Below are 26,165 nucleotides of genomic sequence, written 5' to 3' on the forward strand. Positions count from 1 at the left end.
GTTGAGAGTTCCATTGAGTCTGTAAGACGCACCTGTTCTCTGTAGAGAAAACACTGTAGTTTCTGAATACAGGACAATCAATCTTTTATTAACCTGGGTATTTTCTAAATTGGGCACACTGGTTAGCTGATTTTAAAAGTAGCTTACCAAGAGTTAACCAATTTATTAGCTAACCAAAATATTTCAATTTTAACTGTCATTGTTAAAATCATCTTTTGAAAATATGAAGGAATAATTTTCTGCCAGAGGTAGTACAGAATAGCAAATGTAATGCCACAGTTCTTTGGATATTTGTGATAATTGTGGTGGCTCAGGCTAAATCTAGATTTTTAAATGCTTTCGATTTCCTTAGCGCCTATCACGGACTGGCCCTCTGTTTTCCTTACACAACCCCGCGATCTGATTCTCACTACATCGTGGTGAGACAGGTATTACCATCCCTGTTGGGCAGATGAATGAATGTAGCTATCAAGAAATTAAATATTAATAGCATGTCTGGAGATCAATAGCGAGTATAGTAAAGACTTTTACCCAGGTCCACCTGGTTTCCAAGTTCATGTCCTTCTTCCCTAGAAGTGTGGTAGTGCGTCAGAACTGGAGGACACAGAATCCTGGCCTGAAGGTGCATAGTCAGAAAGGGATTCCTTAGTCTTAAAATAAGAGTTGTTTTTTTATTTTTAGCATCTTATAATCCGGCAATTTCCTTGAAGCCTTAGATACAGCACAAAAAAGAAATTCAAGGCCGGGCACAGTGGCTCAGACCTGTAATTCCAGCACTTTGGGAGGCCGAAGTGGGTGGATCACTTGAGGTCAGGAGTTCGAGACCAGCCTGACCAACATGGTGAAACCGTATCTCTACTAAAAATACAAAATTAGCCAGGCGTGGTGGTGCACACCTGTAATCCCAGCTACTCCGGAGACTGAGGCTGGAGAATCACTTGAACCTGGGAGGCAGAGGTCGCAGGGAGCCAAGATCGTGCTACTGCTCTCCAGCCTGAGTGACGAAGTGAGACTCTGTCTCAAAAAAAAAGAAAAAGCAACAACAACAAAAAGAAATTCAATTAAACGAGAACTCCAAGTACCTGAGTTCTAGTTAATTAAGCTTTAACAGCATGTAATTCCTAATAATTAAAGACACCTTTAGTGTGTACCTAAATAGAGTAATATTAGACATGAGAATGCTTAAATGGCTTCTTTTTTCTCCGTTTTTGATTCGTTTCTTAAAAAATATTTTTAATTATTAACTATGTTAATTATCTATTTTTAACTGTTATTTACACAACAGTTATACCTATTTATGGGGTAAATGCGATATTTTGATACAAGCATACGATGTGTAATGATCAAATGAGGGTCACTGGGGTAGTCGTTGCCTCAAGCGTTTATCATTTCTTTGTGTTAGGGACATTCCAATGGCTTCTTTTCAAGTAAAGGGAGAAACATTCTAATAATACCGAGATAATCTAAACGCTGCTCAGCAGATTAATCTTCTGAATGTGATGAGGTCCCCCCTAGCAAAAAATGTTCAAGATTAACCTTTCTGAATTATGCTTTAAAAACGTTAGGAATAAAATTCTTCCCACTCAGCATTCTAGTATTGCTTCATTATTTGGTCTAAACATGAAATTCCAGGAATTAAAAACAAGAACTTGCTAGAATTATTTGGTCCAAACATGAAATGCCAGGAATTAAAAACAAGAACTTGCTAGAATCAATGCCTTTGTGATTTTAGCTTGAAGTAAAGCAGTGAACATTTACTTCCATTGTATTAAATAAACTTCATAGGAGGCCATTGTTTTGGACTGAGCTCCTGCACTAGGTCCCAACAGAACAGACCAAACCAAAATGGAGTCATTCATGCTAAGTGCCACATAATTAAACTAAACTTTAAAATGGGCTAGTTTTCCAAAAAAACCAGGAGATTCACAGCAACCACTAGGAAGGGGTGCAGGTTACCTGAGCCGGCATAAGGAAGTCCCCTCTGTTTTAACCCTATAAGGAAAGTAATTTTGTAATGACCAGTCTGCTTTTTGTTCCTTGTGTCTGCTTTCTTCCATCTTTTTCTGCCTATAAAACTCTGAGGGGAAAAAACACAAATTAGGTTTTTTTCTGCTCTTACCATAACAATAATAATCTATACAGAAGATTTCTGTGACCAAACGTGTGTGTGGTGGGAAGTTTCTCCTCTTTCTCTCCATCACCAAGTAAACAATCAGCTCTGCGGTGGACATCAGCTGGGTGTCCTCCAATTAAATTCTGATACTATCTACCTGGAGATAGCGTCAGATCCCACAGCTTGAGGGCTCAGTCTGACAAGACTGCACCCCCTGACCCTCGTCACAAGACACCAGTTTTATGTCTGGGCCTCCAGAATTTCTGACAGATCAGCTTGAAGTTAGGGTTCCCATGATCCCCTCCTTGGGTTTGATTAATTTGCTGGAACAGTTCACAGAATTCAGGGAAACACGTTCGCTGGTTTATTACAAAGGGTATTACAACCTATACATAGGAAGAGATGCGCAGGGCAAGGCACGTGGTAAGGGGCATGGATCTCCCATCCCTTACACAGGCATGCCACTCTTCAGGAACCTCCATGGGTTCAGCTATCCAGAAGTTGCTCAAGCCCTAACCTTTTGAGTTTTTATGAAGGCTTCATTATATGGCATGATTGATTAAAACACTGGTCACTGATGATCACTTTAACCCTCAGCCCCTCTCCCATCCCCAGAGGCTAGGGGGTGGGGCTGAAAGTCCCAACCCTCTAATCCTGCCTTGATCTTTCTGGTGACCGCCTCCAATCTGAAGCTACCAGCCATGAATCAACTTGTTAGCATACAAAAAGACCACTTTGGAAATTCTAAAGATTTTTTAAGAGTTCTATGCTGGGAAATGGGTTTGAATACCAAATAAATATTTCACAGTAACACAAAAACTCACCTCCCTTGGTCAAGTCATGGCAGCACCTTTCTAAATCCTTAGATGGGATGCTGCCCAATTCATGAATTGCTAATAAAAGCCAACTGGATCTTTAAACTAAATTTGTTGAATTTTTAAAAGCAGTTCCCAACTGGTAGGTACTACCAACTGGTAGATACTAGTTAGAACGTCATTAAAATCATTACAGAGTTTTATAACTTAAGGCTTATTAGAAAATTTGATTACACAATCCATCTCAGTTCTGAGAAAATTTTTCTTTAAAGAAATTTTAATTCTAACAAACCCTTATACCTCTGGCTGGATATAGGCCATTTTGTCTCCCTCTTTTTTGAATTAGAAAGTAGCTTGTTTTTTCTTTCACCAACACACTACTATCTTAGGGAGCAGAGGGTCAACCAATAAATGCCCTCCCAAGTTTACACAACCAGTTGACACTTTCTTCCAGGGTGCTTTTTGCACAGTACATCAGGTACTGCAGAGTCTGACTCAGTCTTTATCTCCAGACTCATCCAACTTCTCTTCTACTCCACAGTCAATACAGAACCTGGTGTGCAGCTACCTGTACTCATATTCAGAGGTTATCTCCAACTAGTTGTGAGCCTTGGGGATGTTTTTACTTCGTATGCCTTGATTTCTTTTGTCTATAAACTAGAAACAATAATAGAATCTATCTGATGTTGTTCTTTCAAACATTAACTGAAATAATGCACACAACATGCCCACCCACCCATAATAAATGCTCAATAAATGTTAGCTTATACTATTAGCCTGGAAGTCACTTCTGGCCGGAAGCTTTTCCTAACCATGAAAACCAGGCTGGGTGCCCCAATTATTCATTTCCATAGCATCTTGACATTCTTGGGGACACTCATCATTTTTTTATTATTTATTCAATGACTGTCTTTTCAGTCAGATTATAAACACCTCAAAGAAAAGCCTTATGACTATTATTATTAGTTATAATCACAGGGTCTAGCACAGAGCATAACAATGAATATTTATTAAATGAGTGAAAGCTATTTACCAAAGATGCAAGACTGATGAGTTCTTTGGGCAGACTGTCATTTAAAAAAATTGATCAGTTTGCGGGAACTGTAAACTGAGAGAAATCAGTATTGTGCTGTGCCTTCGTTTGTGAGACAAGTCAGAGGAAAATATGATAGTAATAGTAACTAATAGTAACTACAGTAGTGCTACCTGAAATTTCCATGCCCTCTTGCGTGGTACAGTATGTTCATATCTATCATTCCAGCTCAGGCTCACAGAATCTGAGAGTTGGGAAGAAATTCAAGCATCACCTCATCCAAGGCTTCATTTGAGGGATAAGAAAATGGAAAGACATCATTGCACCAAGAGTCATTGCATTCTCCAGGATGCCTCCCACAGAAGGCACCAGAACAGCCCTTGGACTCTGACCATGTGTTCTTTGAACAAAAAAGTCGGGATCATAACTCTCTGAGTATAACTCGAACAGCTTGTGAAAGGATGGGAAATCCAACATAAGTGGGCTGGTAGAACCAGAAGGTGGAACCACAGTCGGGTGGTTCAGGCACAGAGGCTTCCCAGGGTGTCACAAGCCAGCAGCAAGGGGTGTCACTCAAGGCTCAGGATGGAAGCTGTTGTCTTATGAACTGCAGGGAGCCACAGCAGGGGTCAATGAAGCAGGCAGGAGCTGTTCTCCAGAGACCCACAGCAGTTGCGTCTGCATGACTCATTTCCTCCCACTGGAGCCAACTGGGTGACTACTGGGCTTATCAAACCCAGCCCTCTGGACCTTTTTCTGGCCACCTTGGAGGAATGTTCCTGGCATATCTACCCATGCACTCTATCTTTTCAGCTGACCGCAGCTATCTGCCTTTAAATTTCCAACGTGGGACCCTTGTGGGTACGAAGGAAAATCCCTCCATCAGTCAGGCACATGGGAAGTGATTTCTGATCAAGATGTGGAAGAGAGTGATTTTCCACAAGCCTGAAAGTTCAACCCAGCTCATCAGTTCACAGCTCAGGTCTGTGTGCTGGGAATACAGGACTGGCTGCACAATCCCTTGGTTTTGGCTCCCCTGCAGCCTACATAGAGGTGATATCTGCCAGAGTCCCCAGGACACATGAGAAGAGGATACAGCCCCTTGAGATCCTTAGCGATGGTGGAATTGACATGGGGGAAGCTAAGGCTGAGGATTTTAAAAAAAAATAGATTCAGATGGCCTTTCTTCTCGCTCTACTCTTCCTCCTCTTTTTTTTTTTTTCTTTTTGAGACAGGGTTCACTCTGTTGCCCAGGCTGGAGTGCCATGGCATGATCCTGACTCACTGTAGCCTCGATCTTCAGGGCTTGAGAGATCCTCCTGCCCCAGCCTCCTGACAAGCTGGGACTGCAGGTGTACACCACAATGTCTGGATAATTTTGTTTGTTTTTTGTAGAGACAAGGTTTCACTATGTTGTCTAAGCTGGTCTTGAAGTCCTGGCCTCAAGCAATCCTTCCCCCTCGGCCTCCCAAGGTGCTGGGATTACATGCGTGAGCCATTATGCTCATCTTCCTCTTCCCTTTTGATAGCAAGGGGTGGCAGGACAAAGAACTGACACGTCCTTGCGATAGTTTGCTGAGAATGACGAGTTAATGGGTGCAGCACAGCAACATGGCACATGTATACATATGTCACAAACATGCACGTTGTGCACATGTACCCTAGAACTTAAAGTTTAATTAAAAAAAAAAAAAAGAACTGACACTTTAGACCAGGGATGTGCTTGGTGCTGCGATGTACAGGCCATCTGCAGTTGGGCTGGCTCTGACTGTGTGAAAAATGGAGTTGCTCTTTTTTGCCCACATCTGCTTCCTTTCAAGGGGTGGCCTGGAAAGGTGAACAGTCCAGCAAGTCCCTTCTACCATGCCCTGTCACTGTCTTTGGGCTCCCCTCCCCCAAATCCTTATTATGCTTCATAATACCTCAGCTTCCATCGCACCCAACTCACAGTTCTGATGGGGCTATTCAAACTAACGTCAAGCTCACATAGGGCAAGTTGTTTTAAACTGTCTAAATTCAGCAGAAAAATAGCCACCCAGTGCGGTAATTATTTACTTTCAGCAGCGTGAATGCAAATGTCATTAAATCTTTACAATGGTTCTCATAAATGCTATTCATTTTCATCTGCAGTTTCAAAGAATGACACAGGGGAGTTTTAAAATCTAATATAACAATAAATCTTATTCGGGCTGTGGGATCCCCTGGCCTACAAAAGCTGAGTAAGGCAGTTTCCACAAGGGCTTAGCTTGCTTGAAATAACTTCAGAACAAAACACCATTCTTCCAATGGGGGAAGGGAAAGGAAAAGGAATAGAATTGGAAGAGGGGGCCAGCCAAGTTGACAGTCAACTAGACTCCCTAAAAGTGCTTGGGCAGAAGCTGAATTTATGCAAAATTTGCAGATTATGCACCCATTACATGTACATCTGTGCAAACGTGGATCTTCCTTTCTAGTAAGGGAGATAAGATTTGTACACAAATACTTGAAACGGTGTTGAAAGGGATAGGGTCATCATCGTGATAATACCTACGATTTAGTGAGAACGTTTTCTACGATGTGCAGGAAGTAGCTAAGGGCTTCGAATCTTTTGTAAAAAGAATGTTCACTACAACTAAAGAGTACAAAGAAAGTGAGGCTCAGAGAAGTTAAGGAATTTGCCCTGAATCACTCAGCTAGCTGGACTTCAAAACCAGAACTGACTCTAAACTAAGGTTGTCAGATAAAATACAGGACACCAGTTACATCTGGTGAATTTCAGATAAACAACAAATCATTTGTGAGCTTAAGTATCTCCCCAATATTGCTATTTTTAGTTGCGAAATCTGGCAGTTCTGCACAAACTCTCATCTCAAAAAGCTTTTCTTTTTTCTTTTTTTTTTTTTTGAGACAGAGTCTTGCTCTGTCACCAGGCTGGCGTGCAGTGGCATGATCTCAGCTCACTGCAACCTCCGCCTCCAGAGTTTAGGCGATTCTCCTGCCTCAGCCTCCCAAGTAGCTGGATTAGGAGAGGTTTCTTCTGGTTAGCAGTGTCACAAAACAGACTGTTGCCCATAGTTCGGGGTACTCAATCCCTATTTCAGATGAATTGTTATGGCTACGAGAGGCATAAAGACTTACAGAAAATTGTCCTGTAGATAGCATTCGTTTTTAATGTGATACGCCTAGCAAGGTTTAAACCTTTTATTTTCCTGCACTCCATCAGCAAAAAAATTTGGAGCATTCACTTTCAAAATATACATATTGATTTATGACTGATGTATTTACACTATTGTATTAGTATGTCATGTGCAAAAAAAAAAAAAAAACCCACAAAAATAAAGCTAGAGAGGCAAGATATAAAAATATAAACAGTTGGGAGGCCGAGGTTGGTAGATCACCTGAGGTCAGGAGTTCAAGACCAGCTTGACCAACATGGTGAAACGCTATCTCTACTAAAAATACAAAAAAATTAGCCAGGCTTGGTGGCACATGTCTGTAAACCCAGCTACACGGGAGGCTGAGGCAGGAGAATCGCTTAAATCTGGGAGGCGGAGGTTGCAGTGAGCTGAGATCGTGCCACTGCACTGTAGCATGGGAGAGAAAGTGAGACTCTGTCTCAAAAAATAAGAAATATATATATAAACAGAAGCACTACTATTTTCTTTCAGTACCTAGTACATTGTCTTGTACACCTCACTTTCCACACTGCTGACCCACAGCCCTTTGACTGATTCTTTAAATCACTGGAACTCAGCACTAACCAAGCAAAGTTGAATCCAGGACATTGTATCCAGATAATCAATCTAGGTGTATTCATCCATTTTTGTAAAATTCAAATTTTCTTTAACTCTTTTCTTTAGTTAGGCTAGGCAGGCCTGGCTTAGTGTTTTATTTTTATTTTTAAACCCTCTTCAAAGAGTTCTTGAGTGTCAGGATAACTTACAAACTTGTGGATTTTCTCCTGATCATTTTTTTCAGCTCTCCTCTCTCTTTCTTTTTTTTTTGGAAGGGGGTAGGGGGGTTGGAGTCTTGTACTGTTGCCCAGGCTGGAGAGCAATGGTGCAATCTCGGCTCACTGCAACCTCCGCCTCCTGGGTTCAAGTGATTCTCGTGCCTCAGCCTCCCGATTAGCTGGGATTACAGGTGTGCACCACCATGCCCGGTTAATTTTTTATTTATTTATTTTTTAGTAGAGATGGGGTTTTGCCGTGTTGGCCAGGCTGGTGTTGAACTCCTGACCTCGAGTGATCCTCCCACCTCGGCCTCCTAATCTTTTTTTATTCTTTATTTCTTAATGAATTACTGTAGGTACATAATAATCATATACGTTTATGGGGTACCAGCTCCCCTTTCTTCCTGCCTAACCCTCTTCTGCCCTGTTTATGGCTCAAGATGCTTCCCTTCTGCAGAAGACATAGAAGAGGTTAGAAATGTTCTGGGTAGAAGAAGAGAAACGGGAAGGCTGTTGAGAATCCTGAGGGGAGAGAGGGCCTTGGCTTGAGCCTGGAAAGCGGGGAGAAAGACAACCCTGATGAACCCGGGGAGCTGCCCAGAGGCAGCACCCTGAAATAAGGGAAGGGTGGGTGCATTTATGAGATGACTTTTATAGAGTTAGTCAGAATTTTACAGGATTTCACGTGTCTGCCTCCGACTTCTTCTTCTTCTTCTTTTTATTTTTGAGACGGAGTTTCACTCTTGTTGCCCAGGCTGGAGTGCAATGGCTCACTGCAGCCTCCGCCTCCCAGGTTCAAGAGATTCTCCTGCCTCACCCTCCCGAGTATCTGGGATTACAGGCACCTGCCACCACACCCGGCTAATTTTTGTATTTTTAGTAGAGATGGGATTTCACTATGTTGGTCAGGCTGGTCTGGAACTCCTGACCTCAGGCAATCCACTCGCCTCGGCCTCCCAAAGTGCTGGGATTCCAGGCGTAAGCCACCATGCCTGGTCTGCCTTCTACTTTTTAACCTTGTTAGAGGACCCTGATGCACATAACTTCACTCTTCCAACTCTACAGAGCTCTTTTGGTTTCCTGAATATTTCTTCTTTTTTTTTTTTTTGTGACGGAGTCTCCCTCTGTCGCCCAGGCTAGAGTGCAGTGGCACGATCTCTGCTCACTGCAGCCTCCACCTCCTGGGTTCAAGCAATTCTCCTCCCTCAGCCTCCCCAGTAGCTTGGGTTACAGGTGCCCGCCACCACGCCCAGCTAACTTTCTAGTGATTTCACCATGTTTGTCAGGCTGGTCTCGAACTCCTGAGCTCACGTGATCCGCCCACCTCGGCCTCCCAAAGTGCTGGGATTATAGGACTGAGCCACGGAGCCCGGATGGTTTTCTGAACATTTCTAAGCCTCAATAATACTCTTGTTTTCAAAGTCTCACTTGTTCTGAACTGCAGTGGATGATGAATTTATGGAGAATTAAGACATTAGGTATACAGAACACAGAATTATGATTAGATGAAAATAATACATTTCGTCTTTCTATTTCAAGATGAGAGAGGTGGGTAAGAAAAATCATTTCTATTCAGACATGGAGAAAAGAGAGAAAACCCAGGCCACGGGCTCCCAGCTGCTCAAATGCAACCAGGACACAGAAGCAGTGGAACTGTTGGACCTGAAAGCATGCAGCCTAGGGTGAGAGGCTGTTGAGCCAAAATTCGGGTGGATGGAGGACTGGCAATCAAAGCAGGGAGGCTCTCCAGGGTCTGCATATTCTGTGCTAGGCTCAATTCCAAGTTCTTTACATATTATAACTCACATAATCCTTATTTTCCATCTGGCTCTGAAGTCTGTACTGTGCTGAGTTCATGTGGAAGGACTCAAGTGAACGTGAAAATGCATGAATACTTTTGTACCGTTGAAATTTCCTGACCCTTGGCCCAACTATAAAGGATGGGGAACCCTGAGACTATCCGAGACTGAATTTCTTGCTGGTCCAGTAGTACGAGGATTTGGGGCTAGATTTTATTAAAGATAATAAAATGGTTAATTATCTGAGAATGTTGATTTTTATACCTGCTATACTTGTAATTCATGAATAACTTATTTTGTTCTTTTTCTTGCCTCTTAACAGAATGATAACCCATTTTTTTTCCCATAAGGCACAGACTGTTCCACCTGCAGCAAAGGCCAAGCAAACCTGAAAAGGGATGAGGTGGGGAATTAATGCTACAAATTCTTTGGTCAGGCTTCATGATTAAGACAGGCCTGGCAGGGCACGGTGGCTCACACCTGTAATCCCAGTACTCTGGGAGGCCAAGGCGGGCGGATCACTTGGGGTTGGGAGTTTGAGACCAGCCTGGCCAAAATGGAGAAAGCCCATCTCTACCAATAATACAAAAATGAGCCCAGCATGGTGGCACACCCATGTAATCCCAGCTACTTGGGAGGCTGAGGAACAAGAATCGCTTGAACTCAGGAGGTGGAGGTTGCAGTGAGCCGAGATCACGACACTGCACTCCAGCCTGGGCGACAGAGTGAAACTGTCTCTCAAAAAAAAAAAAAAAAAAAAAAAAAAAAAAAAAGATAGGCCTAAGAGGTCTTAATAATTGTCTTGTCTGAGAGGGAAAAAGGCAGAAAAGCCAATCTGTACAGGACTGTTGTGAACTGACATATTATAAGAGGGGTCACAAATTTCTAAATGGCATTTTAGTTCAGGGGTCACAGCCTGCTTATTCTCAACTGAATCACCTGCTCTGATTTGCTATTCAAACATCAGAATTGTGTTTTTTTCTTTTTCTTTTTTTTTTGAGACAGAATCTCGCTCTGTCGCCCAGGCTGGAGTGCAGTGGTAGGATCTCGGCTCACTGCAAGCTCCGCCTCCCGGGTTCACGCCATTCTGCCGCCTCAGCTTCCCGAGTAGCTGGGACTACAGGCGCCTGCCACCACGCCTGGCTAATTTTTTGTATTTTTAGTAGAGACGAGGTTTCACCGTGTTAGCCAGGATGGTCTCGATCTCCTGACCTCGTGATCCGCCCACCTCGCCCTCCCAAAGTGCCGAGATTACAGGCCCGAGCCACCGCGCCCCGCAGCCCAGAATTGTTTATGTGCTGCCTCAAGATTGCAGTCTTGCGCTGGGATCCTCATCCAAAGCAGTATCCCCAAAGCAACCTCAGCTCCCCAACTCCCAGTACGGTCTGACCAGCAAACAGCTTCAAATCACTGGCTTGGATCGAGTTTACAGAACCCATTGCGGTGTTTCTGCTGTCTCTTAGCAACGTCTTGCAGGGTGGCCTTATTCAGTTGCCATCACTGCCTGGCACCTGGGAAGGGAAATCTTCCAGGATGAGGGGAAATCTCCCGGGTCCGGGGGGTGCCACAACTCTGTGATGTACAGACACACAATCTAGGTCCAGATTTTCTAATCCGGATTTCAAATTCTCCAGTGTTGTCTTAAATGATGCATATTTTTTATGCTGAAATATGTACTTCATTTCATGACATTGTATTGTTTTCCAAACATGTAGTCTACTATTTTTAGTTTATTTTTATGACTTTGAATAAAAGGTATAATTTTACAACTCAGATATATACATATATATATATATATATATTTTTTTTTTTTTTTTTTTTTTTTTTTGAGATGGAGTCTCGCTCTGTGGCCCAGGCTGGAGTGCAGTGACGCGATCGCAGCTCACCGCAAGCTCCGCCTCCCGGGTTCACGCCATTCTCCTGCCTCAGCCTCCCGAGTAGCTGGGACTACAAGCGCCCACCACCACACCGGGCTAATTTTTTGTATTTTTAGTGGAGACGGGGTTTCACCGTGTTAGCCAGGATGGTCTCGATCTCCTGACCTTGTGATCCGCCTGCCTCGGCCTCCCAACGTGCTGGGATTACAGGAGTGAGCCACCGTGCCCGGCCTAACTCAGAAATACTTTTGAAAATTAATTACTATTTTTTTTTTTGAGATGGAGTCTTGCCCTTTTTCCCAGACTGGAGTACAGTGGTGCAGTCTCAGCTCACTACAAACTCTGCCTCCCAGGTTCAAGCAACTTTCCTGCCTCGGCCTCCCAAGTAGTTGGGATTACAGGCACAGTACACCATGCCCGGCTAATATTTTTGTATTTTCAGTAGAGACAGGATTTCACCATGTTGGCCAGGCTGGCCTCGAACTCCGGACTTCAAGTGATCCGCCCACCTCGGCCTCCCAAAGTGCTGGGATTACAAGCATGAACCACCATGCCTGACCATTAATTACGAATTTTTAAAGTAGATTTATTTTCCTTGTAGAGATAGTCTCTTACTCAGTTGGCCAGGCTGGTTCAAACTCCTGGCCTCAAGTGATCCTCCCACCTTGGCCTCCCAAATTGTTCGGATTACAGGCATGAAGCACTGCACCCAGCCTATAAACCTTTATCTTAATTTTCAGGTTTCAGACCAATTCACTGCATGTATGTATGATTACATTGTTGCTATATTCTTTCCTAATGAATTATGAAATTCACACATGAACTCAGGAGAAGTCCAAAACTCAAATCCTCTTTACATTCTTTCAATTCACCAAGCTTTTTCCTCTTTCACCCTGATGGCCCCTGAAGTGCATCTCTACTGAGGCTCTCTTCTGACTCAATGGAATAAAAATGGTCACTTTTTTCCTTAAATTACGATGTGCAGATAGTAACTTGGACAGTAATTACCCCATTGTAGGCTTGCAGTGACTAAAGTATTAAACCTTTGTAAATATACTGCCAGTGTTTCATGCCGTATGTTTCAAAATGCCTCTTTGCATGTATGTTTATCTGCCCTAAAGGCTTATAGAAAGCAGAAAAAGAATCTTCTGTTGTATGGATTATAAAGGACCCAGAGAAACATTTAATAAGTTAATTTAATAATGAATATGGTAACTTACACGTAATCAACAATGTAATTCCTGCACTCACTTTGAATATATAGCTTCTAATTGGATTTATGTAATACTTTTTCTCCAAAGAGCTTCACAGGCTACGAACACAAGGCAACCTAATAAATGAAAAAAAGGCAGGCGCCAGCCAGAAGTGGCTCACGAAACAGTATAAAAAGATAGGTTGTTATGGAGGATGCTCTCAATAAAAATACGGTGGAAGGGCAGTTTGCAGAGTATGCTAAGAAAAATTTCACTTACAAATAAAGATTGAGGATGAGAAAAGTAAGAATTTTTCCATGAGCTTTCTCAAATGGCATGAAAAGTAGGAATGATTTATTTCAGTTGAAAATATTTATTTTATAGGTTGTTTAAAGCACAGAGTAGAGCTGGATCTACTTGCCTTGCAATAGAAACAAATTTGTTTTCTAGTTTCCTGGCCTGTAGTGGATTTAGAAAAGGATGTTAGAGGTAGGCATAGGAATAATAGTGAGAGGAGATAGGCCAGAACAGAGGAAACCGAAAAACTACTAAAAATAAAAAAGAGCTCAGAGAGCAGAGTACTAGTGGGAGAGATGCAAATATAAAATTTTATTAAATATAAGGGCAAATAGTCTGAAAGACCTAAGGGTACCAGCAAGCAATACTTGGGTACCAGCAGCAAGATTAGAGTGATTACTTATATTATCAGATTAAATTATGTTATGTGTATGATGTTTAAAGAAACAGAAACACAGTGAATATGAAATGCTCATTAGAAAAGTTTTTATCCAAAATGTTGTTTTTAAATTGTTACTTTAAAGGTCAAGCAAAATTTGTTTTTTAAAGAGAATTTCTGTGGGACATGTTAAAAGAACCCGCATGCTTCCTCCCTCCCTTCCTCCCTCCCTTCCTTCTCTCCTCACCCTTCTCACAATTAGAGCTATACAGCTACTGGTGCGACTCTTTGACCTTGGGCAGGTAGGAAGCACGGTGTTAAGTCTGAATGTCAAACATACCAGCTTTGTAGGAGGCCTTTATGGGATGGACTTTTGGGTTGCTTTTCTAATCTCAACCTCATCCTTCCTTGACCTTGACTTTTATTTATATATTTTCCTAGTCTTGATTGTTTATTACCGTCTACCTTTCACCATTGTTTTTATTTATTATTTGTGCTGTTGTTATAGGATATTGGAAATGCTTTATGGGGAAGATTGAGTCTATGTTAACAAAGTCTCCTGAGACTTCTCTGAGATATCTCTGACCTGAGATAAATGGTTTAATATTTTCATTGATACTGCATCATACAATCAGTGAGAACTCAATGAAGAGCAGCCAAGCTCCTTGCAGATAAAATGAGATTTTCCAATGATATAACATTGTAAGTGCTTGAATAATTCCCTGGAGCTTTTTACCTCATAATCTGCTGGACCTGGTTATTGAAAGGTTAATGCAAAATCACACATCCTGAAAATTTAAAGTTAAATTCTAAAAAGTTAAAATGGACTAAATATAATCACAGGAAATATGCACAACATGAAGGGCAGCCAAAAAACAGTCATAGCTGCTGATGACTTTAGAAGGAAGGAAGGTGGACGTCCTTAAAAAAAAAATGCAGCCCTGCCATTATCTGACAACGTCAACTCCATGTAGCCGTCATTCTGTCATTTGCCCACCTTTTTCGTTTGCCTAGAAACACTTGCAGAGAGTTGTCAGCTAAGAGTGTAAACCGATTGCTTTGTATAAATGTTTTATCAGAGCTCTCTCAAACTTTAGGGAAGCTAATATACATTTTATAGCTTTTGGGAGATTTTTAAAAACAACATCCTTGAACTTTGTAATATATTAGGATCAAATCATTGCGTGATGTGATTTATAAATAGATTTGCTTATTTATGCTTATTTAATAGACATGCTAAGTCATAAGGTACAGTTCAAGGTTCAGTATAACCCAATTCAGGGCATGTGGCTAATCTCCACCTTTTTGGTGTTCTGACTTCTGGAATACTGGGTCAGGAGTCCCAGAGAACTAATGTAAAGTTGAAGAGACCACATGCGGAATCCATGATAGTCATTTGATTACCATACAACCTGCTTTCACTAAGTCTTTGTAAGTCTCATTGTATCCTATAGTCTATAAATCTACAAGGAAAAAAAAATTTGTTCTTTTTGAGACACAGTCTTGCTCCGTTGCCCAGGCTGGAGTAGAGTGGCACAGTCACAACTCGCTGCAGCCTCGAACTCCCAGGCTCAACTGAGATTCCTTCCTCGGCCTCCCAAAGCGCTGGGATTACAGGCATGAGTCACCGAGCCAAGCCAGGAAAACAAAAGTCTTTCAAAGATAAAATTTTTACCGTATCATAACCTGTAGCAGATTGTGGAAGCAAATCTATTTATAAATCACATCAGGTAATGATTTGATTCTAATATATTACAAAGTCAAAGGATGCTGTTTTTAAAAATCTCCCCAAAGTCTATAACATGTATAATTTTATAGTACATTTATAGATTCTATATTAATTATACAGTAATGTATAATTTAATCTCAAAATGTTAAATTGGAGAGAGCTCAGATAGAATACTTAAACAAAGCAATCACTTTCCACTCTCAGCTGACAACTCCCTGCAAGTGTTTCTGGGCATTGACTGGGTTGGCTGTCTGTATTTTCTCCTCTGCTCTCTGCTCCCCATCAACCTTTATGAGTTGTCCCTTTCCCAGACCTCCATGGTGTAACCATCTTCAGGATCTCAGCACCCCTGTTAGCACAATGTGAGCCGCACCTACCTCTGTGCCCACCATAGTAGACTTAGTGGGTACCAGCCCACATCAGAGCAAAAAGTCTCCTCCCAGGGATGCAGGCCTAAGAGAATTCAGTGTTAGCCTGGATTGTCTTCTAAAGAAAGAGATGTAAACCTGGGAGTGGTGCTGGTCAAATTCCTCCCTGTGGAGTAGGGAGATGAGCAAGCAGATGGGCAGAAAGAGAAAGAGGGATCAGAGAAGACTGAAGAATGGGCAAGCAGAAGATAGCAGAGGAGAGATGAAAAACAAGACCTATTGGAGTTGCATTGAGCCCCTGTGTCCCAGCTCCCAATCCAATTGCTTTTCAACATGTTGCAAGGGACACAGCTGTAAAGGTGTCCTTGCACTCTTGGCCCTCTGCTTCCTATAGGTGGATCCAGATGCTAAACTTCCAGGAGGATTGCACCTATACAATGATCCACAGGACTCCTGTGTGTGAATGTTGAGGATGGGGTAAGGAGAGAAAAAGAGCAAGAGAACGTTGTCATGGGAACACTAAGGCAAATCACAAGATGAGAAAGGATTGAAACCCATTCTGCTATCTCAGGCTTTATTTATTCAAGTAATAAATCAAGACATCTGTGTCAAAACCAACGTAGCGTAAAATGAACTAAAGATAAGCTTTTCAATCCCATCAATACTGACTCCTAAATACCACATTCTTTTAAAATGGATGTTTCACTGCACATTTAATCTATATATCTGTTAAAATTACTATGTGAGCATTTGTGCATGCTCTTTCTTTGTTCTAGTTTCTTTTATAAAATTCTAAATGACTCACCAAGTAGAATTAATATAAAGACAGAATTATCTAGAATACTATTTTATGAGAAAAACAACTTTTAAACTTATGACAGACCAGAAGTCAAACAGGCTTGAATAACGAAATGTTTACCTTTAATGAGGTAAGTGACTGCTTCCTGGGGGTTAAGTAGACCAGGGAGTCAATGTTCAACTCGTAATAGGGGACTTTATTTAACTAGAACCATTACAGGACAGACGGCTTGCAATACCGGTCCAAAATTCTGTGGTGGGAATTTGTATTACTGTTCAAAGAAAGCACTGACTCTTTCATACCTGAATGTCTTGCTCCTCATGGAAATCCCAGTTTTCCCTAAGAAAGGTAAGCTCACTCTATAGGTAAGTTTCCTGTAGTGAAGTCATTTGACAAAATAATGAATCTTTAGAGATAAGCTGAGATAGAAGAAAATAGCTTTTTTTTTTTTTTTTGAGACAGAGTCTAGCTCTGTCATCCAGGTTGGAGTGCAGTGGTGCAATCTTGGCTCATTACAACCTCCACCTTCTGGGTTCAAGCGATTCTCCTGCCTTAGACTCCCCAGTAGCTGAGATTACAAGCACCCACCACCATGCCTGGCTAATTTTTATATTTCTAGTAGAAATGGGGTTTCACCATGTTGGCAGGCTGAACTCAGACTCCTGACTTCAAATGATTTGCCAGCCTCAGCCTCCCAAAGTGCTGGGATTACAGGCGTAAGCCACCGCGCCTGGCCAAAATAAATTGTTTTAATACTTATCTTTCCTTAAAGAGTTTCATTCCCTTTCTGTATTCATAGATGCATAGGTATTATAGAATTTTTGAGGTAGAAAGATTTCCTGGAGACAATGAGAGAAGCTAGCTTTGTTCAGGGAGATGTCAGAGGCCACAGAACTAGTTTGTCAGCAAAACCAGAGCTTCTTTGTTATCTTGTGAACTAAACAAAAACTTTCTACCCAAAAGGTAATGTACTTCATAGATTTACATTTCAGACATTAGTTTGATTTTAAGGAGTAACAGTCCAAGACAGAGAATTCACACTATTTTTCCTAGTCTGCTAGACAGGGTCTGCACATGAGAAAATAGACCTCCATTGCATTTCCATTGATTAGGTAAATGAATGATGTCCCAGTGCCTGTCTCCCTCTCACACAAACCCCCTGGCTGGCTCCTTGCCTGTCATGCTCATTTCCTCGCTGTTTCCTAAACCCTGAACAGTCTTACAAGCTAGTGATCAAAGCTCAAAAAGTGAATTGGTTTTGAGGACCAACGGTGAGGTAGGAAGGGAGAAAGGAAGACCAAAATAGAGCAGTCAATCTTTTCGCAAATTTAAGGCCATAGATAAAATTGAGGTCAGTAAAAATGAGGGACATTAAAAAACTTATTTCACTAATTTTCTAAGGCTGCTTATATACCAAAAGTCACTGCCATTTTAAGACACAAAATATGTAAAATATGAAGACCTAGCAAAAAAAAATTTAAGATGTGGAAATGTCCCGAAACGATGATAGAGAAAGCTTTTCCCCCCTGTCTTTTGAGTTGGGTCTGCTTTCCTTATCCTCTTATCTTTAGCCCCAAGTTCAAATCAAATGTGAACAGTTCCCTGGGTTCCCACAGAGGGGCAGCAGCACATGAGGCCTGGGAGATGGTTAGGGCAGGCTCTGGTCCCGGCCCATAGAATATTCTCTGATTCACACTGACAGACTCACCACAGAAATGTTAGAGCCGTCCGTTGGCACCACCCTGAGCTGAGACTCCACGTCCCCAACACCTAGGCCTTCACTGCTTCTAGAAAGCTGGCTGGACTCATTCGTACAAGGTTAGGTCACTAGACCTAAAGTCTTGAGTGTCTTTCTCCCACCCTCTCCACCAGAGGAATTAGGAGTGCAGTACAGACCACCAGGCCTCAGGAAATGTAGGGTTACTTCCAAGGAAATTTTGCCAGCTGGAAAGACAGTGAAAGAAGGCAGACAGAGCCCTGGACTGGGGGTAGACAACTTGAGGGCTGGGCCCAAGCTGCTTCATCCTAGTCCCATGGAGTTGCTTACTATCTGCAAGCATCTGTCCTTTCACGAGTGAAGTGGGGTGATAATAACATACATCCTTGCAGAATTTCGAGATTTTCATAAGAGGAAATAATGCAACGGAAGCCATCCAGGTCACAGAACGCTCTGATTACTTTTACTAAAGCCTGGTCATAGAACAAACTAAGAACCAACCAATGAAGATTTGTTCTTCATTCCTTATAATACTTGGAAAGATGCAAGCCAAGATTTTTTACTATGGAGCCTGTGATGTTTCATCACTGAGAGAATAAATTCAGCCATTTTGAATCCTGCAAAGAAGAAAGTTTACTCTTCAGATCCAGGATTTTCCAAATTGACACTAGGACCTCAACTCTACTGTACACGTGTAGGAATGGAGTTTCCTTCCCTGTAACCAACGTTTCACTTTAATAAACATAACTGAGCACATTTTCCATAAGTTCATCGACTGAAAGCTTCCATTATGGGGGATCGAGGGCATTAGCATCCACAGTGGTCAAGAAGATATTATATTTTAATCAGCTTTTTGATACTTTGCGACAATTCATATAGCTACATTCTAAAACATGAAAGGATTGAGTAATTCTCACACACTCATCTTTCAAGTCTAGATAGCACCTTAATCTGTCCAGGGCTGGACACATGGAAAAACTATTGTGCTGCTTTGTTTAACACCCAACCCTGGGCAGGGGTTCCCTGGTTAGTGATAGCCGTACGGCACCTACAGGATCTAAGGGTGCTAACTTCCCAACTCCTCTCTCCCCATGGCAGAGGGAATCACATTGTCTGACCACCTCTGACTCCATGGGTTCCCTGGTCCTACCTGGTGTCTCACTGATTTGGCTTCTCCTCTTTTCTCCCTTAGGACTACTGAGGGCCCCTTTCACTTTAGTCCGCAAATCTCCATTGCAATGTGAAGCAGGGGACGTCATCAGTGTTTTCATGGTGGAAAAACTGAGCCTCAGAGAGCTCTGGCGGGTTGCTCTCAATAAGGACTTGGACTTGGGGCTTCTAACTTTTTAGCCAGAAATCCTCCAACCTTTAACTTAGACCGAGCAGATGTCGGGGTCCCATTTGCAGCCCTCTGAATTAGGTGGACAAGGGTGAGATCCACACACTTGGACCAATTCCCAAAGTGCCTCTTCCCAGAGAAATGGCAACAGCTCTGAGGCTTCAGCTTATCCCCCGAAGGCGGGAGGGGAGAGTGGGAAAAGATGGGGTTTTCAAGTCATCAGGCCAGCACTGAAGTACACAAACAATAACTGTGTGACCCCACATACAGAGATGGGCTCTGATGCAGGAGTATGTCATTCCTCCTAAATCCCGGTAGGAAATGAGAGATGCAAGAATTAGGATGGAATGTGAACTATTTCTTAAGGAAGCATGCTAGCATCTCTTCCTCCAAGAGCGCTACTCTGGAGAGCTTTCTCCCCGTTTCTTAACTGTGGCTACGCAGGCCCTTGTTAAAAAGAGAAAAGGGAAGGAAGGGTGCTGTGAGAAGCCTGCAGGAGAGGGCATGGTGTTTGGATGACGCAGTACCCCCTCTAAGCCCATGGGAGGCCCCTGCCAGATGCTGTGAATTTCATTCATTTCTTCTGTGACTTCCCTGAGATTCCTGTCCATGCTAACCCTCAACACTCCAATGACTCCCTCTTCCTTCCGTCTCATCCCACCACCCTCCACACCCTTCCTCACCTCCACCCTCATGCTCACACACATGCAAAGGATAGCAAGATGCCCACACTGTGAGAAAAGAAAGCTGAATGCATAATTTTAAGTTTTGTCCACCCAATTTGAGAACAGTGCACCTGAGCTGGGTGGAGAGGGTGGGCTGCAGGCACAAGAACAACGGGAAGGCTGGGCCAGAAGTGCGGAGTGTGAGATGCTAACAACAAGGGCAGGCAAGGCCATGATCAGAGGCAGAGCCCGTAGAGCTGGAAACAGGAGCCCACAGAGCTGGAAAAGACCTTGGAGGCCACACAGGGCTGCCTTTCCCTTCCTGATGGGGAATGGAGGCTCCTGTCCCAGGCTGCACATCCATTTGGTGGTGGTCTAGGTGTGTTGGGGAGATGGAAGGTACATGAGAGCCCTAGAAAGTCAGGTGTTCATGGATGACAGTAGGGTGTGGCTGAGTTCCAAGGCTGTGCTCCGGTTCTGGAAACCTCCACAGCTCCCTGGAGCCTCCCCCATTGTTCCCAATGCCCATTCTGGAGAACAAGCTTTGCTTTTGCCCTTGTGTTTCTGCAAGGGTGGGGAGGATGTTTGCCCAGTCACATCTCCATCCCCTCATCTGAAACTGGAGCTGTGGAGCTCTATTTCTCAAAGTGGTTAAGATGAGTAAGGGGATGTGAGAAAATGCCTAGCACATCACAGGACCCAATAAATGTCTGGGTACCTCCTTTGTCCTTCCTTCTGGTGTTCCCCTATAAAGTATGCCTGACTTTTCTTTTCCCATCTTTGGCAGAAATCTTGGGAAATAGTTAATCCTTGCCTTCTTCCAAACAAAATGTTTCTGGTGGCCTGGAAGGTGGCAGAGGACAGAGCAAATGCCAGGCCTGGGAAGGCTGCGGCTCGTGGGTACCTCTGCTGTTGAGGTGTGGCCCATCTAAGCAGAGGAGAGAACCAACGCCAGAAATTGGAGGCCAGGGTGGCACGTCTGTCCCCTGGCTCCCTTTCTTCTGCTGGGATTCAGGACATGCGAGTTCTTACCTTGAGAGGCAGAGTGGCAGGCGGGGCTGGGCAGCCCTTGCTGGTGTGCACAGCTGGACAGTACCTGTAGAGCCATGCCCTTGTCGCCTGCGCTGTGGTACCTGTGGCCTCCTTACAGCTCCTGGGGAGTATTTGGCAGGTCTCGGCGCCTCTCCTCAGCACAGTCCTTTCCGCTCCATCTGCAGCGTGGACCAGGACAGCCCTTGGAGGGGAGCATCCCAAGGCATCCCTGCATCGGGGGTCCATGCCCCACAGATCCTGGGTGGCAGAAGTGACTGGCCAGTGCTTCCAGCCCATGGAGGGACTGCTGCTTTCATCACTCATGATGGGAGCTGGGCTAGGAAGCCTCCATGCCAGGGGCTGTAGCCAGCCCAGTGTCTTGGAGGCAGGGGCCTGGCAATGCCTGTGATGTGGGGATCTGCAATCACCACCCCTGCTTACGTCCGGATCCTGGGATTTTTTCCTCCCTTCCTTCTTTTCCTTTGGAGCAGAGCAAGTGAAAGCAGCTGATTCCTCCGTCTCAGGGCCTGCCTTCTGCAGCAGCCTCAAAGGAGGGGCAGCTGAGCCCTGTGTGCGCCTGAGGTCCCAGCCTGCCAAGAGGCCTGTCCTGGGACTTGGGAAACTGTGTCCCTCCTCCAGGCCCCCTGGGGTTGCCGCTGGAGACGGGGCGGGGAGAGTGCAGGCTGGAGGAGCCCGCAGCTGGATGAAGAGGAAGGAAGTTTTCATCTGCTGCTGCTGAAACTGCCCGGCCATTTCCTCCAGGGGGGTCGGGCTGGTCCCTGCCAGGGTGGAGTTTCAGGCCTCAGTGCCCAGGGATGCGAACAGCAGCAGCTGTGGGCAGACGTGACTCAGCCCCATGGTTCCACCGACAGCCTGAGGAAGCAAACAACATGTCTTCAGCACCCAGGGGAGTCTTAAAATAGGGGGGTCAGATAATGATCTTGGCCATGGAGCTGGACTTTGCACTTATATCACAGAATCACAAAAAGATATTAGTGGAGAATAATCTACAAGTGAGGGGTGACAGTGAGGACAGTCAAGACAACCCTTCTCAACTTTGTTTTTGTTTTTGTTGAGACAGAGTCTGGCTCTATTGTTCTGGTTGGAGTGTAGTGGTGTGATTTCAGCTCAATGCAACCTCCGCCTCCCAGGTTTTAGTGATTCTGCTGCCTCAGCCTCCGGAACAGCTGGGATTACAGGCACGCGCCACCGCACCCACCTAATTTTTGTACTTTTTAGTAGAGACGGGGTTTTGCCATGTTGGCCAGGCTGGTCTTGAACTCCTGACCTCAGGTGATCCATCCGCCCCACCTCGGCCTCCCAAAGTGCTGGGATTACAGGTGTGAGCCACTGCGGCCGGCCCCCTCTCACCTTTGTGTATCTACATGGAATCACTTTTTCTTCACTGCCCCCTTCCTCCTATTTGAAATGAAAACACTATTCATTTCATAATTTAATCCTAAATTCTGTGTTAGCTGTTCTTGTTACTTGGTGACTGACCTGTGAGACACTGGTTTATAAATGAAGCCTCCAATAAGCTTTGAAGTGTACTTTTCATCTACTTTGTCTGCATTATTTTTACTAAATACTTTTAAGACCTCTAGGATAAAGTGCGCAACAAACAGTTGTAAGCAACTTTAATGTTTTCATGAGTTTGCACTTTAAATCTGTGGTCATTTATGGGTTCTGTAGGAGAGGTCCCACATCAAAATACTTGGTGTCATGGTTTGTGTCTCCTCCAAAATTCTGGTGCTGCCAATGTGATAGTATTAACAGGTGGGACCTTTCAGAGGCAATTGGATCCTGAAGGTGCCTTCCTTCATGAATGGGATTAAGACCCTTATAAAAGAAGTTTCACACAGCTGTTGAGCAGTAGGTTGCCCTTCTGCCTTCCACCCAATGAGGACACAGTATTCCTCCCCTCCAGAGGACAAAGTCCTCACCAGACGAGGCACCAGGTGCCTTGATCTTGGACTTCCCAGTCCCCAGAACTGTGAGAAACCAAATTTCACTTCTTTATAAATTACCCAGTCTATGGTATTTTCTTAGAGCAGCATGAAAGAAATTTGGTATTACCCCACAAAATGAAAAGAAAGTGGTATATTGTTGCAGCTGTGCAGAAGACACTTAGCATCAAAGAAAGTAAGAGAGAGAAAAGGAAGAAAGAAGGAAGGAGGGAAGGAAGGAAGGAAGGAGGGAGGGAGGGAGGGAAGGAAGAAGGAAGTAAGGGAAAAAGAAAAAGAGAGGAAGGAAGGAAGGAAGAAAAAGAAAGAAAGAGAGAGAAAGAAAGAAGGAAAGAAAGGAAGAAAAAGAAAGAAAAAACTAAGAAAAAAGAAAAACATGAAAGAAGAGAGAAAGAAGAAATAAGATTAAAAAAAAAAATCCAGGTAACAAATCAGGCTGGAAGGGCTTTTTGTTGTTGTTGTTTTTGTTGTTTTGAAAAATAATTTAGCCCATCTTAATTAGAGGAAAGAAAAAAATAATCTAATCTTTTAACTTGTGAGAACATGGCAGTGCTTTTTAAAAATGGAGATCATTTCTTTTTAGCAAATTGTAATAGGCAATTGAAAAGTATAATAAATAAAAAATGAGACAAAAGGAAGAAGAAAAGAAATCACCTTAAAATTCAGTTGACTCACTCACATTCAGAGTATTTCTATAGGCTCAGTACCTCTTAGGGGGAAAGGAATCTTTTTGAGTCATGCTGACCCTGTACCTGAGGAGGAAAGAAGGCAGGTGTGAGAAAGCTCTAGTCTTCGTCAATGTGAAATAACTTGACTAAAAGGGAACCAGGAAATCATCCTCCAAAACAAAGTGAGCATGTGGTCTAGAACTTCCTTGCTCTGCATGCAGCATCATGTGAAGCCTGGGTGAATTCTCCCTCCCTGACTCCTCAGTATCCCCGCACACGGGCAGCACCCCTGAGGCATCAGGGGCCACTGGCCTTGGCTGACCGTGGCTGACCAGGCTGAATCCTTGGAAATTCTCAGGATGCCAGGATGCCCAGTTGGAGTCTTATGATAGTTTTCCTTGTTAAACGTCTTCATACTTTAAAAGTTTTTTCACCAAAGGTCAAGGAGGTTTTGCCCACATTTCCAATAGCTGGCAAGTGACTCAATCTACATCTCATTTAGAAATGTGCTCAAATCTGTTTAGGCCAGGCACCGGCTGCTATAATCCTTTTTATCACATCTACAAAGAAAATTTTGACAAAACCATATTATGTCTAACTGTAATTGTATGTTGATCTCATTACATTAATGTTCATAAAACATTTTACATAAGTGATGACTAGTCCTCTATAGGTAATTTTCACACTCTTCTATACAAGAACTTGTCTGAACATTGTAATCGCTCAACAAACAGTACTGCGTGTTGACTGATTAACTGCCAGTAACATGGGAAACTATGTCTTCATAGGGAACAGGAATTTGGGTGAGAAGAAACCTTCTGAAGGTACCAAGCATGACATCAGGGGCTTTGCATAGTGTATTTCATTCAAGGCACAGCACAATCCTGTGAAGTAGGTGGCATCATTTCTATGTTGCAGTTAAGGAATGTGAAGCTCAGGGAAGGCACAACTGCCCCAAGTAGGCAGGGGCTTTAAAAAGCTGTCGGATGAGAAGTTTCACTCCTTCACCTCTTTCCATTTCAAACATCCAACTTCTAAACCACATGAAGTAAAGTACCAAGGAAACCATGGTGGTGCTGGTAGCGTGTCCAGGGCACTTCTGTCTTCTTTTTATTTGCAAGCTCACCACAGTGGGGATTACTGCCCAATATTTCATTTCTGGGTTGTGTGGACTGAAATAGGAGAAGGGTAAATAAATGGTGGATGACACTTGAGAGCTGACAGGAGGGCTGACTTGGAGGATTCATGTAACGCATTTCCTTGGGACACCCTTAAGTATTAGGAGGCGCATTTAGGGGGTGGGAGCTCTGTGTGAGATGTGGGGGAAAGTGCCAGAGAAACATGAGTAAACAGCAGAGTGATTTGAGAGCACAGACTTTGGTGCCACACAGACATTTCTTAGCCCTGCTTCCACTGTGTGGCTGTGTGACCTTAGGCAAGTGTATTAGTCTGGTCTCATGCTGCTGATAAAGACATACTAGAGACTGAGTAATTTATAAAGGAAAGAGGTTTAATTGACTCACAGTTCTGGAGGGCTGGGGAGGCCTCATGAAACTTACAATCATGGCAGAAGGGGAAGCAAACATGTCCTTCACATGGTGGCAGCAAGGAGAAGTGTAGAGCAAAGAAGGGAAAAGCCTCTTATAAAACCATCAGATCTTGTGAGAACTCAATATCACGAGAACAGCATGGAGGTAACCACCCCCATGATTCCGTCACTTCCCATTGGATCCCTCCTGTGACACATGGGGGATTATGGGAACTACAGTTCAAGATGAGATTTGGGTGGGGACATAGTCAAACCATATCAATAATTTACTTGGCCTTTTTGACAATCAGGTCCTCTTCTCTAAGATGAAGTAACAATAGCTACTTCCTTTTTAATAATAGCTATTCTGACACATGTGAGATGGTATCTTATTGTGGTTTTGATTTGCGTTTCTCTAATGATCAGTGATGTTGAGCTTTTTTCGTATAGTTGTTGGCCACATGTGTGTCTTCTTTTGAAAAGTGTTCATATACTAACACAAGAACAGAAAACCAATTACTGCATGTTCTCACTCATAAGTAGAAGCTAAGTGATGAGAACACATGGGCACATAGAGGGGAACAACACACACTGGGGCCTATTGGAGAGTGGAGAGTGGGAGGAGGGAGAGGATCAGGAAAAATAACTATTGGGTATAGGCTTAATACTGGGTGACAAAATAATCTGTACAACAAACCCCCAGGACACAAGTTTACCTATATAACAAACCTGCACGTGTACTCCTGAACTTAAAATAAAAGTTAAAAAAAAATAGCTACTTTCAAGGGCTGTTGTGAAGATTAAGTGCAGGTGCAAAAGGCTTCCTTAGCATATTGCCTGCTACCTAATCGGTTCTGTAAAATAAATGTTAGTTACTTTTAGAATTTAGATCCACATGTTATCCTGGAGAAAACTTGTT

At 43.3% G+C, this 26,165-nt stretch overlaps 1 protein-coding gene across 5 annotated transcripts in view, besides 2 other annotated features; it reads right to left on the bottom strand.

Moving 5' to 3' along the window:
* Positions 1–21,686, bottom strand: part of PSD3 (pleckstrin and Sec7 domain containing 3) — a 557,503-nt gene extending 535,817 nt beyond the window's left edge. For all 5 annotated transcript variants that reach the window (NM_001412865.1, NM_001412866.1, NM_001412868.1 and 2 more), the window contains exon 1: positions 21,087–21,686. In NM_001412865.1, the coding sequence (NP_001399794.1) occupies positions 21,087–21,410 (324 nt within the window). In that variant the 5' untranslated portion in view covers positions 21,411–21,686. The remainder of the gene's footprint in view (positions 1–21,086) is intronic.
* Positions 20,648–21,441: an enhancer, noted in NCBI's record as "H3K27ac-H3K4me1 hESC enhancer chr8:18941277-18942070 (GRCh37/hg19 assembly coordinates)". NCBI's record gives its function as "activates a minimal SCP1, AML or CMV promoter by ChIP-STARR-seq in naive H9 embryonic stem cells {active_cell/tissue: H9 hESC(naive)}" and the evidence as "EXISTENCE:reporter gene assay evidence [ECO:0000049][PMID:30033119]".
* Positions 21,442–22,235: an enhancer, noted in NCBI's record as "H3K27ac-H3K4me1 hESC enhancer chr8:18942071-18942864 (GRCh37/hg19 assembly coordinates)". NCBI's record gives its function as "activates a minimal SCP1, AML or CMV promoter by ChIP-STARR-seq in naive H9 embryonic stem cells {active_cell/tissue: H9 hESC(naive)}" and the evidence as "EXISTENCE:reporter gene assay evidence [ECO:0000049][PMID:30033119]".

The sequence above is a fragment of the Homo sapiens genome, chromosome 8 (assembly GCF_000001405.40).
Source record: "Homo sapiens chromosome 8, GRCh38.p14 Primary Assembly".
In the NCBI taxonomy this organism is placed as follows: domain Eukaryota; kingdom Metazoa; phylum Chordata; class Mammalia; order Primates; family Hominidae; genus Homo; species Homo sapiens.